The 14,098-nt window shown below is 37.5% G+C and overlaps 1 long non-coding RNA gene across 1 annotated transcript in view; it reads left to right on the forward strand.

Annotated features, from left to right (window-relative positions):
- LINC01221 (long intergenic non-protein coding RNA 1221) overlaps positions 1 to 14,098 on the forward strand; it is a 60,603-nt gene that overhangs the window by 3,045 nt on the left and 43,460 nt on the right. The gene's annotated exons all lie outside the window — the stretch shown is intronic.

Genomic DNA, 14,098 nt, shown 5'->3' on the forward strand with positions numbered 1-14,098 from the left:
CAATTACTCAAACTCTCTAAGCCTATTTCCTCATCGGTAGAAATAAAATTGTCATACCTATTTCATGAGGATTTTTGAATAATAATGAGATACTACGTATTCAATATTTAACTTGTTGATTGATACACAGAAGTCAAAAATTCTTAGCTATTTAAATGTTGTATATATGTGTGTGTATACATATGTACACATATATGTGTATATATATGGAAAGAAAGAGTCTCATCTTCAATACAATACATTATATTTCTGAGGCTAATGTTTTATGTCATTTATGAATAATTTAAAACATAAAATAACATGAGAAAAAATAAAGTTTTGAATGATAAAAGAAACATTAAAGGTTATATATGAATTTAAATGTAATTTTCTCAACATAATCGTTAGTGATTTTTCTCCATAAAATGTGTCCGTATTTTATTGCAAATGTAAAACAATACATAAGAGTATAAAGTTTCAAAAGTACTTACTTCATAATCACCTTAATTTTACTATTATAGATTTCATCTTACATTGTCTGTTTTTATGAAAGCATGTGATTCAAATGCTCCATTACTTCTATTACTCTATAGAGTACTGAAAATCAACATATTTTTACAAAGTAAATGACTAGTGGGCTGATGATAAATGTTATTTAATGAAAGACAAATATTACTTTTTAAATGTTTTAAAATATAACTAATATGTGAGAATTGATATTTTTATAAATATGGAGTTTTTATCCTCTGGAAAATTTAATTATCTCACCTTTTTAAATTTATGCTGCTATAAGGGCCTTCTGTTTTGCAACATTATTGGAAATATAGTCCCTAAATCTTCGTTTTAAAACTTGGCTTTTAAATTGAAAAATCTAAAAATATGGGCTTTTAGAAAAACTTCTGGAGTTAAGGGAAGAAAATGTATAAGAATGAATGAAGTTACAATATTCTAAGACAGAAAATGACAGGTTGCTGTCACTGATGTACAAGCTAGACCAATCTGTTTGGGTCAATATGCGAATGTTGACTTAGGAAAGAGATATAGCAGGAAAGCAAAAGTTTTGTACACTAGAAAGCCACATGGCAGTCTGAACTTTTCAGAGGAGATGGGTGGGGCTTATGGATTCTTTAAAAAAGCAAAGTCATCCCACTTTTAATATAGCATATAGGGCTTTCTTTAGTAAAAACGTATCTTTCTCCTAAATCAACATTTAGACTTATAGTCAACTATAAAAAGAAAGGCTGACTACCAATTAACTGACTCTTTTATACCACCCAGGCAAGCTTCTCAGTTACATTTGTTATTTTAGAAAAGTACATGTTAGACTTAAGAGGGAACCCACATGAGTTTTGGCATTCTTCTTTTCTCCTCAAATAAAACATGAAAAGCTGTATTGAAAAGAAGATCAAATGATGAACAAACTAAATTTGTTATAATTGTTGTTAACAATATCTAATAATTTTGTTTCTTCTCACAAAGTTCAAAAAACAGTGTTAATTCAGTTCATACCATTTGAATTACAGTGAGATGCTTCAAAAGTGTCAAGTTAAACGAGTATACAAAACTGAGTTCTAAAATATAGATTTATTCAGATTAAAACTTTCATTCCAATGCTATGTTAAAATATTAATTTATAGAATAAATACACAGAGATTACTCACCATATGCCAGGTAGTCTTCCAGGTGCTGAGACCCAAAACTGAACAAAAGAAAACCCAGCCATGGACAGGTTCTACACGTGTTATGTAAAACCTTCCATGAACATCTCTGTGCTTGGAATTGGAACTTTAAGGAGCTTGCCACCAGAATTTTATTCAGAACTTACCAATAAGGATCTATATAATTCGAGTGAACTCCATTTAAGTTTTTTATGTCTTTATTTCCATGTGTGCTATAGGGTGGAGAGGAAGTATCCTGTGGTGGCTAAGCATGCATGCTCCGAAGCCAGGTGGCCTGCCACACTGCTTCCTCTCCGTGCAACACTGGGCCCTCTCTGACCTTTGGTTTCCTCATCTACAAATGGAAGGTTATAATGATATCTACCTTCTAGATTGTTATAAGGAATAAACTAAATAACACTTGTGTGGTACTTAGGCTAGAACTTACATTATAAGCACTCAACAAATGTTCATTATTATTATTGCTTAAGCTGAGGGAATAGCTAGATAGCACCAGATTCTTACGTGTACAGCAGAAGAGAAGGACCGGGGGAAAAAAATCCATATTGTTTGCATTCTCTTCTTAGAAAACAAGAAAGTGAAACATGAATGGAAGGATTTGTGCTTGTCGTTCTAACATCTGGCATTATTTTAATCAAAGAGGAGGACTGAATGTCTCATTAAGTTTATACTATTATTTTTCACCAAATTAAAATAAAAACACTGTCAGACTTCAATTTTCAGAAGAAGCTCAAACTATATATGTATAATTTCCACTTCTAACCATTTTATGATCCAATTCTTATGGTAATATTTGGGAAGAATCTTCCCTTTGGGGATCTCTTTCTCATTCTGCATCACCTTTATTACTATTCTTTAAAGAAAATGTACAGTTTGTTAGCAATAAAATTATGGAAAATGGCCTTTGGTCCACTTTGGAAATAAACTTGAATAGCAAGCATATGAAATATTTTGGAGAGTTTTTCTTTTAAGTGGCAAGCTATTGTTCTATTATGGATATAGCCAAGGTTAAAGAAGTTCCATATGGCTTGAGCAGTAGTAACACCACCAATAATTAAAGGCTGCCCCAATGTCTCTACTTAGCTATGACACCATAACCATAATTATTTTAGGACTGAAATGAACTATAGTTTTTCTCTAGTCTAACCTATCATTTAACAGTTGAAGAAACTGAGGCTTAGTTAGATAAATTTGCTGACCCAAGACCACTTGGCAAGTTGGCAATGGAAAAGGGAATGCAATTCACATCTCCTGCCACTCATAACAACACCCTTGCCCTTGAACATTGGCATCTTGCAATAATGGAAAAGGTATACATCTTGAGCATTTTGTTCAACTACTTTTCCTTTATTTTCTCTAGAAAATATAACTATGAAGAATTATAATGTAACTGAAGATAATGGGAATCTGGATTAATTTTTACTTTCAGTTTGCGTATATTCTGACCCATATAAGAATTCATCTTTTTCCTCCCCCTTGAAAATCTGTTATATTTTTCTCTTCCTCTTAAAAGTTTTAACAAATAATAAATGAGTATCTCAGAAACATACATAATGATATGCATTGTTTTCATGTTGTGTTTTTTTATATCACTTCAAAATTTTTAAGTAAAATTTATAATTAAGTTTATAATTTATAATTTGTAAATTTAAGTAAAATTTATAATTTATGGTTAATATAGCAAGTAATATTTTCTTCCCATTATTCCCCTTAGGCACATGGAAATTGGGGATAGACTTTAAGTATGATTTTAAAAGTTAACATGAAGGTAAATAAGTTTATTTGACATAAACACACTGTCTCATAGATTAGCTATAATAGAAGCTGTTTAATCTATCTCTGTATATATATGTTTATCCCTTAGTCAACTGTGTGTTCCAAATAAATCATTTTGGTTTTCTTCCCCATTTTTAATCTTCAGAGTTTTCTTCCCTAAGAACAAAAGTCAATAAGCATATTACTTGTTATACATTAAACAATTAACTGAATGGATTAAGATAGTTTTATTTTAGCCTAACTCTTAAGCAGGAAAAGAGATTCAATGTTGCCTCTTCAGTTTGAGTTGGTTAGCTTTATGCATAGGCAAAAAGGCAATTGCAATTATATTATCTGATTATTTGTAAGAATTAAGATAAATTAGTGCTCTAAACGGAGTCAGTCAACCCTCTTCCATTTCCCTTTCTAGTAAATAGAATGAAGACAAGATTATTTTCAGAAAAACATTCAGAAAGCTTCAGGCCGGCTCTTTGAGTAGATAGGTGATTTACTGGGCATCTGGGTGGAGCATAGAAGCACTGAAGTAGAGGAGGGAGAAGTGACAAAAAAGTATATATTTGCGAGATCTATTATTTGTCTGGCCTTTAACATAAATGAATGGTCTTTCTTCTTAGGTTTTCATGACACATTCTCTTTGGGCATGCTTCAACTAGACATGTGTAAATAAGATTTGTTTTAACATATTTTCACTCCATGTTTGTATGTAGACACTGAGTACACTAGTTAAAATAACTGACTTTGCTGCCTTAAACATTTCATCAACATTTAAATCTTTAATCCATCTTGAATTGATTTTTGTATAAGGTGTAAGGAAGGGATCCAGTTTCAGCTTTCTACATATGGCTAGCCAGTTTTCCCAGCACCATTTATTAAATAGGGAATCCTTTCCCCATTGCTTGTTTTTCTCAGGTTTGTCAAAGATCAGATAGTTGTAGATATGTGGCATTATTTCTGAGGGCTCTGTTCTGTTCCATTGATCTATATCTCTGTTTTGGTACCAATACCATGCTGTTTTGGTTACTGTAGCCTTGTAGTATAGTTTGAAGTCAGGTAGTGTGATGCCTCCAGCTTTGTTCTTTTGGCTTAGGATTGACTTGGCGATGCGGGCTCTTTTTTGGTTCCATATGAACTTTAAAGTAGTTTTTTCCAATTCTGTGAAGAAAGTCATTGGTAGCTTGATGGGGATGGCATTGAATCTGTAAATTACCTTGGGCAGTATGGCCATTTTCACGATATTGATTCTTCCTACCCATGAGCATGGAATGTTCTTCCATTTGTTTGTGTCCTCTTTTATTTCCTTGAGCAGTGGTTTGTAGTTCTCCTTGAAGAGGTCCTTCACATCACTTGTAAGTTGGATTCCTAGGTATTTTATTCTCTTTGAAGCAATTGTGAATGGGAGTTCACTCATGATTTGGCTCTCTGTTTGTCTGTTGTTGGTGTATAAGAATGCTTGTGATTTTTGTACATTGATTTTGTATCCTGAGACTTTGCTGAAGTTGCTTATCAGCTTAAGGAGATTTTGGGCTGAGACGATGGGGTTTTCTAGATAAACAATCATGTCATCTGCAAACAGGGACAATTTGACTTCCTCTTTTCCTAATTGAATACCCTTTATTTCCTTCTCCTGCCTGATTGCCCTGGCCAGAACTTCCAACACTATGTTGAATAGGAGCGGTGAGAGAGGGCATCCCTGTCTTGTGCCAGTTTTCAAAGGGAATGCTTCCAGTTTTTGCCCATTCAGTATGATATTGGCTGTGGGTTTGTCATAGATAGCTCTTATTATTTTGAAATACGTCCCATCAATACCTAATTTATTGAGAGTTAAATGTTAGACCTAAAACCATAAAAACCCTAGAAGAAAACCTAGGCATTACCATTCAGGACATAGGCGTGGGCAAGGACTTCATGTCCAAAACACCAAAAGCAATGGCAACAAAAGCCAAAATTGACAAATGGGATCTAATTAAACTAAAGAGCTTCTGCACAGCAAAAGAAACTACCATCAGAGTGAACAGGCAACCTACAACATGGGAGAAAATTTTCGCAACCTACTCATCTGACAAAGGGCTAATATCCAGAATCTACAATGAACTCAAACAAATTTACAAGAAAAAAACAAACAACCCCATCAAAAAGTGGGCGAAGGACATGAACAGACACTTCTCAAAAGAAGACATTTATGCAGCCAAAAAACACATGAAGAAATGCTCATCATCACTGGCCATCAGAGAAATGCAAATCAAAACCACTATGAGATATCATCTCACACCAGTTAGAATGGCAATCATTAAAAAGTCAGGAAACAACAGGTGCTGGAGAGGATGTGGAGAAATAGGAACACTTTTACACTGTTGGTGGGACTGTAAACTAGTTCAACCATTGTGGAAGTCAGCGTGGCGATTCCTCAGGGATCTAGAACTAGAAATACCATTTGACCCAGCCATCCCATTACTGGGTATATACCCAAAGGACTATAAATCATGCTGCTATAAAGACACATGCACACGTATGTTTATTGCGGCACTATTCACAATAGCAAAGACTTGGAACCAACCCAAATGTCCAACAATGATAGACTGGATTAAGAAAATGTGGCACATATACACCATGGAATACTATGCAGCCATAAAAAATGATGAGTTCATGTCCTTTGTAGGGACATGGATGAAATTGGAAACCATCATTCTCAGTAAACTATCGCAAGAACAAAAAACCAAACACCGCATATTCTCACTCATAGGTGGGAATTGAACAATGAGATCACTTGGACACAGGAAGGGGAATATCACACTCTGGGGACTGTGGTGGGGTCGGGGGAGGGGGGAGGGATAGCATTGGGAGATATACCTAATGCTAGATGACAAGTTAGTGGGTGCAGCGCACCAGCATGGCACATGTATACATATGTAACTAACCTGCACAATGTGCACATGTACCCTAAAACTTAGAGTATAATAAAAAAAAAAAATTAAAAAAAAAAACAAAAACATTTCATCAAGTCAGTTGGAGCTTCCACTCCATCAAGACAGGGAGTTTGCCCATGCTTGAGACCTGCTCTGTAATATTTCTTTATAATTTCAGCTATGACTTTGTTCATGCTGGTACAGAATTTAATGCTCACTATTTCATTACTGTTGAAACTTTGCAATTTATAGTAGCTTTTACCATTATATCATGGCCATTCATGTTTCTTATATTTCTTTTAGCCTTAAATGCCACCTTTTTTGGTATTAACATCGAGTCTTCTGCTTTCTTGGTTTGCATTTTTTCTTATCTTTTTGTTCACTCCTTGACTCTCTAATTCTCCTTACCAATTGTTTTAAGCATGACTGTGTAAACATTAAGTACATTGGTGTTATGTTTACTCAATGTGAGAGTCTACCTTTAATGGCAAAATTCATTCCATTCTCAGAGTAGAGATCAGTATATCTCATGTTTACTACTGGCTTAAATTTCTTATTATTTTTTTCTCTTATTGTTTTATTTGAACAAATTACTATTTATGTTATCTTTTGTTTTTGTTTCAGTTATAGTTTTCCATTCTGTTAATGCTTTCCCCTTTTCTTGCTCTTCTTATTAGATATCTATGACTCTACTATTATTTTAAGAAGATAAACTATGCTCTCAGTTGAGATAGACTGTCTTACTCAGCCAACACTCAGTTTTCTTTGATATCTTTCTCATTCCTCAAAACAATAACAAAGGAAGATGAAAACCTAGAAAAAATTACATTAGGTCTCTCCACTATTTGCAAGATGCCATTTCAATTTTAAGATTTTTTTTTTTTTTAAGACAGAGTCTTGTTCTATCACCCAGGCTGGAATGCAGTGGCACGATCACAGCTCACTGCATCCTTGAACTGCTAGGCTCAGGTAATTCTTCCACCTTGGCTTCCCACAGTGTTGGCATTACAGACATGAGTCACTACATCTGGCTGCCTCAAAATTTTTTTTGTTTTGTTTTTTGAAACAGAGTCTCACTCTGTCACCAGGCTGGAGTGTAGTGGCGGTGATCTCGGCTCACTGCAACCTCCACCTCCCAGGTTCAGGTGATTCTCCTGCCTCAGCCTCCCGAGTAGCTGGGACTATAGGCATGCACCACCACACCTGGCTAATTTTTGTATTTTTAGTAGAGACGGGGTTTCACCATGTTGGCCAAGATGGTCTCGATCTCTTGACCTCATGATCCACCTGCCTCGGCCTCCCAAAGTGTTGGGATTATAGGCGTGAGCCACTGCACCCGGCCGGCCTCAAGATTTTTAAATTTAGCATTAAATAACCTACTAGATTTTATTTATTAAGATAGAAAAAATAGATTGAAAAAAGATAATGAGTAAATTAATAGGTGAACGAATGAATGGATAGGTGGATAGGTAAATAGATCACCACCTTCCTTCCTCCTCTTATTTCTTAAATTCCCTTTTGATTGGTGTGAGTCTTTTTTCAAGTAATTTTTTCATGCAGAGTATTTGTGTGGTACATATTCTAAATTTTTGTGTTTTTTAAAGTAAATAATATCTCAGGTTGCTACATAATTCTCGAGTTATAAATCCTTTCCCCCTTTTTAGTGTCAACTATTACTAATAAGAAATACCATGCCAAACATACTTTCTCCACAAACCTTGCAGACAACTTTTATTTCTATGTGGAGGTGTCTATATTTAAAAAACTTTTGACTTTAGGAATTTCACCAGGATAAAATGTTAGATTTGTTTCTTTATTCATCAGTTTAGTTTAGAACTCTTAAAGTCCTTTTGCTGCACAGACTTTAGTTTTTTCTTCATGTCAGGGGAATTTTCTTAAATAATTTATTCAATTACTGTCTCTCCTATTTCTGTTTTTTTTCTTCTGAAAATTCTATCATTTATGTTGTCTGTCATGAATCTAGTCTTCAGTCCTTTTATCTTTTCCCTCATGATAGCCATCTCTCTATAGTTTTGCTTTGTCATTAGAAATGTTACTTGTACTTGACCTCTTAAGTTACTTCATATGATTTTTATATTGGCCATTCTCTTTCAGTTCAACTATTATATTGCTTACCCTAAAATAATGATTTTTTGTTTTATTTTGCTTTGCTATTGTTTTAGCACAAGACAGACTTTTGAAACTCAAGTGTACTGAATGTTATATTTTGTATTTTTCTCTCTCCCCACAAGCAGTTTTGCTTCACTGCAAATATGCCCTGATTATTCTGCCTGATCATCCTTTCTGACTGGTGGGAAATTTTAGATAGGTTGTTATTTCTGACTTCTTGTCTCATGCAGCTCAGATCTAGAGGTTGGAGCTTCCTAAGAGTTTAGAATCCCATGGCTAAGAAAAGCAGAATAGTTCTGACACCCACAGTTTAGAGGGTTGCCTGTTTCTTGCCAAAGGACCTGGAGGAATTCTCTTCACTCTCTAGCTCCCTTGAACTCTTTCAGCCTCTAGGGACAGGAGAACTCATTCATCACTGCCCCTCTCAATCTTCTAGGGGCCAGAGGCACCTTATATATTCATTCAGAAGAATGTCACCCTTCTTCTTATGGTTTCCCAAAATATAAGAGAGCAATTATGAAAAAAAATGAAAGAATCATAGGATAGGTCCAGAAGATATAAAGCTTCTTCCTTCCTTCCACAAATCTGTGAAAGCTAGAGTCTTCCTACAATCTACTTCTTTATTCTCCTTTTTCCCAGGCAATAATGCATTACTCTAGTAGCTTGCCCTGCCACAGTTCTTTCTGCTGTGATTTTAACAGACATCGTATCCCAATTATACCAGTTTTCCATGGGTTCCAAAGTCTCCTGCATTAATAGAGTCAAATAGCTTGGAATAGGAGTTGATAAAAAAGAGAAGGTGGCCCAGCTGCTGCCAGAATCTCTGCTCATGGTATCTATTTTCTGTAACACTCCCATAGTGAGCTGATCAAATCCTACTAGTGAGTGAGTTCTCGTGAGATCTGGTCATTTGAAAGTGTGCGGTACTTCCCCACTCATTCTCCTGCTCTTGCTTACATGTGACAGGCTTCTCTCCCTTTGCCTTCTGCCATGATTGGAAGCTTCCTGCGGCCTCTCCAGAAGCAGATGTCGCTATGCTTCCTGTAGAGCCTGCAGAACTGTGAACCAGTTAAACTTCTTTTCTCATAAATTACCCAGTGTCAGGTATTTCTTTAAAGCAATGCAAGAAGGAACTAATCCACTGCTCCAGAAAAGATATCATATATGACACAGCATCTACAATTAAGGCATAAATTTACTTGAGTTACAGTAGCTCACTTTCACGCTCAAAGATCCATCTGACTTTTTTATGTTGGTGAATAAATGGCGATATCATCGGGACTACCTCCCATGGATCCTTAGGTCTTTAATAATGGCACTAACTGTGGCTATTTTTCCAGAATAAGATATTATTTTGGATTTACTCTCTTGACTGTAGAGTACAAGGGTAATTTCAGAGGCTTCCATTTGGCATTTCTTTTTACAATATCCCCTACCTCACAGGCCAAGGAACCAGAGTGGGATTGTTTCCAATAATAAGGTGTGCTTACTTTAATTATATACCAAGGACCAAGAAAATGATCATCCATGGCCCTAGTAGACCCACGGTGAGCTGGACCTGTTCCAGAACCTGCACTTATTATTCAGCCCTCATTCACACCTAATCTAATATAGCAGCCATGGTGTTTCTTTCAGCCCCTGTTTATCTAGGTCAACTCGAGTCCTACATGAAACAGTCCTTGAACTATTTCAGTGTTCCCTTTCCCCAGTGAACAATTACCTAAGCAAATGGCCACAGACCTTTTGGGGAAGGACTGGAGAATTGTTACCTAAATACTTTTCATGGTAATGTTGGGTCCTTCCCCTGAGGAGTTGGCATCTCCTCCCATCAGTGGGTTCCTGGACTGAAAACTGCTACAAGTTCTGCAGTAGGAAAGAAATTGTGACTCTTTATTGAGGCAACTGCCCTTAAATTCCTGTTCATCCCTCTGTGGTTTTCGTGGCTTGTACAGATTGAGCTAGACTGTGTAGCAGGAGAATATCACAGGTATGATGAACACATTTGGAAATATGTGATCTCATTTGTGTCTTCATCTCTTGAGTAGTTAACATTATCCAGCTCCTCTGGACCTCAGCTGCAAAAATGCGTCTTGCCCACCTGGAAATAACTTCAGAGTGCCTACACTATTCTAGCCACTGCAGCCTCTTCTTACCTACTGAGGAGAGCTGATCTGGCATCGTCCTTGGGAGTTTCTCTACTCTTAGATTCCTTACTAACATGATGTGTTTCTACTAACATAGGTTAGTAGACACAAACAAACACATGGTGTGTTGTTTGAGTGTGACCAGTCTCAGATTCCACTGTGTATGACACAGTTTCACTGGCTCTCAGTCGCTTCATCTCCTCAACAACTGACTCACTGATAGTGTTCTGCCTGTAACTACATCAGGAGTAAGAATAAACAGAAGTGTGTGTGTGTGTGTGTGTGTGTGTGTGTGTGTCTATGTGTATGTGTGTGTGTATGTCTGTGAAGAAGGGGAGGATCGTGGTGGGAAAAGATCTGTATCTCAAATATATTTTTTCCTTCTATAGAGCACCTTCTGACTCACCCATTTACTATAATCTAACACTGAGATAAAGTGTAACTTTCTCAGCTTCCTTCAAGGTTAATTTTCAGAGATCTGAACATGCACACTGACATGAGCTGTCAGGATACATCTTGATTTCTAAAAGGCATTTAATCAGTTTTCCAAGATATTCCTGCAGATAAAATGAGTGAATGTTGAAAGAATAATAATAAAGTTATTATTCCAGTTATGAATAACCACACCCAAAGAATACCAAGCTTCAAATCACTGTCAGCCTTGAGTTAGGTTTCTTGTGACATGCATTGGATACTGTCTTATTCAACATTTTAATCAATGGCTTGGATAAAAATAAAGGTACACTTATAAAAGCAAAGTCGGATGAAAAATGCTAAGATTTAAAAATAGAGTAAAGTTGTATTAGTCCATTTTCACACTGCGGATAAAGACATATCCAAGACTTGGAAGAAAAAGAGGTTTAATTGGACTTACAGTTTCACATGGCTCAGGAGGCCTCAGAAGCATGGCAGGAGGTGAAATGTACCTCTTACATGGGGCAGCAAGAGAAAATGAGGAAGATGCAAGAGTGGAAACCCCTGATAAAACCATCAGATCTCATGAGACTTATTTACTACCACAAGAACAGCATGTGGAAAACTGCCCCCATGATTCAAATTATCTCCCACTGGGTCCCTCCCACAACACATGGGAATTATGGGAGTACAATTTAAGATGAAATTTGGGTGGGGACACAGAGCTAAACCATATCATTCCACCCTTGGCCCCTTCAAATCTCATGTCCTCACATTTCAAAACCAATCATGCCTTCCCAACAGTCCCCCAAAGTCTTCATTCATTTCAGCATTAACCCAGAAGTCCACAGTCCAAAGTCTCATCTGAGACAAGGCAAGTCCCTTCCACCTATGAGCCTGTAAAATCAAAAGCAAGCTAATTTCTTCCTAGATACAATGGGGGTATAGGTATTCGCTAAATACGGCCATTCCAAATAGAAGAAACTGGCCAAAACAAAGGGGTTACAGGGTCCATGCAAGTCCAAAAATCCAGTGGGGCAGTCAAATTTTAAAGCTCCAAAATGATATCCTTTGACTTCAGATCTCACACCCACGTCACACTGATGCAAGAGGTGGGTTACTATGGTCTTGGGAAGTTCTGCCCCTGTGGCTTTGTGGGGTACAGCCCCCCTCCCAGCTTCTTTCATGTGCTGGTGTTGAGTGTCTGTGGCTTTTCCAGGTGCACATTGTAAACTGCCAGTGGATCTACCATTCTGGGGTCTGGAGGATGGTGGTCCTCTTCTCACAGCTTCATTAGGTGGTGCCCCAGTAGGGACTCTGTGTGGGGGCTCCAACCCCACATTTCCCTTCTGCACTGTCCTAGCAGAGGTTCTCCATAAGTGCCCCGCCCCTGCAACAAACTTCTACCTGGGCATCCAGGCATTTCCATACATCTTCTGAAATCTAGGCAGAAGTTCCCAAACCCCAATTCTTGACTTCTGTGTACCTGCAGGCTCAACACCATATGGAAGCTGCTAAGGCTTGAGGCTTGCACCCTCAAGCCATGGCCCAAACTCTATGTTTAGCCCCTTTCAGTCATGGAAGGAGTGGCTGGTATTCAGGGCACCAAGTCCCTAAACTGCACACAGCACGGGGACCCTAGGCCCTTCCCATGAAACCACTTTCCTCCTCGGCCTCCAGGTCTGTGATGGGAGAGGCTGCCACAAAGGTCTCTGACATACTCTGGAGACATTTTCCCCATTGCCTTGGGGATTAACATTTGACTCCTTGTTACTTATGCAAATTCCTGCAGCCAGCTTGAATTTCTCCTCAGAAAATGGGATTTTCTTTTCTATCGCATTGTCAGGCTGTAAATTTTCTGAACTTTTATGCTCTGCTTCCCTTTTAAAACTGAACGCCTTTAGCAGCACCCAAGTCACCTCTGGAATGCTTTGTTGCTTAGAAATTTCTTCTGCCAGATACCCTAAATCATCTCTCTTAAGTTCAAATTTCCACAAATCCCTAGGGCAGGGGCAAAATGCTGCCAGTCTTTTTGCTAAAACATAACAAAAGTCACCTTTGCTCCAGTTCCCAACAAGTTCCTCATCTCCATCTGAGACCACCTCAGCCTGGACCTGATTGTCCATATTGCTATCAGGCTTTTGGTCAAAGCCATTCAACAAGTCTCCAGGAAGTTCCAAACTTTCCCACATTTTTCTGTCTTCTTCTGAGCCCTCCAAACTGTTCCAACCTCTGCCTGTTACCCAGTTCCAAAGTTGCTTCCACATTTTGGGGTATCTTTTCAGCAACACCCCATGACTGGTACCAATTTACTGTATTAGTCTGTTTTCATGCTGCTGATAAATACACACCCGAGACTGGGAAGGAAAAGAGGTTTAAATGGATTTACAGTCCCACATGACTGGGGAGGCCTCCGAATCATGGTGGGAGGTGAAAGGCATTTCTAACATGGTGGTAGCAAGAGGAAATGAGGATGATGCAAGAGAGGAAACCCCTGATAAAACCATCAGATCTCATAAGACTTATTCACTACAAAGAGAACAGTATGGGGGAAATCGCCTGCATGATTCAAATTATCTCTCACTGGGTCCCTCCCATAACATGTGGGAATTATGGGAGTACAATTCAAGATGAGATCTGGGTGGGGACACAGAGCCAAACCATATCATTGGTCATAGTACAAAATTAATAAAATGAAACTTAGAAAAGAACACAATCTTAGAATTATACTGCAGCTAAGATCATGCAGTTTCAAACTGCTGATCGTATAGATGAGGAAACTAATTCCCAGAGAGGCGAAATGATTGACTTAGGGCCACTCAGCTTGCTTGTAACAGTGCTACGATTGAATTCTGTCTCGTTTTTCCAGTGTTATGTGACTATGCCTCGGTTATTCTCACTCAATACTATCCTTAGATAGCCTCCATATTATGCCTCCAAATTGATTTTTAATTTGCTGAATTCTGAATAGATAATAAAAACTATGCTTATCAATGTGGAGTCCTATACCTAGTCCAAAACAAACAAACATAAATTGTTTGTATTAGTGCAGGATGGACAAGGCAGACATGTG

Source organism: Homo sapiens, chromosome 1 (assembly GCF_000001405.40).
Source record: "Homo sapiens chromosome 1, GRCh38.p14 Primary Assembly".
NCBI lineage: Eukaryota > Metazoa > Chordata > Mammalia > Primates > Hominidae > Homo > Homo sapiens.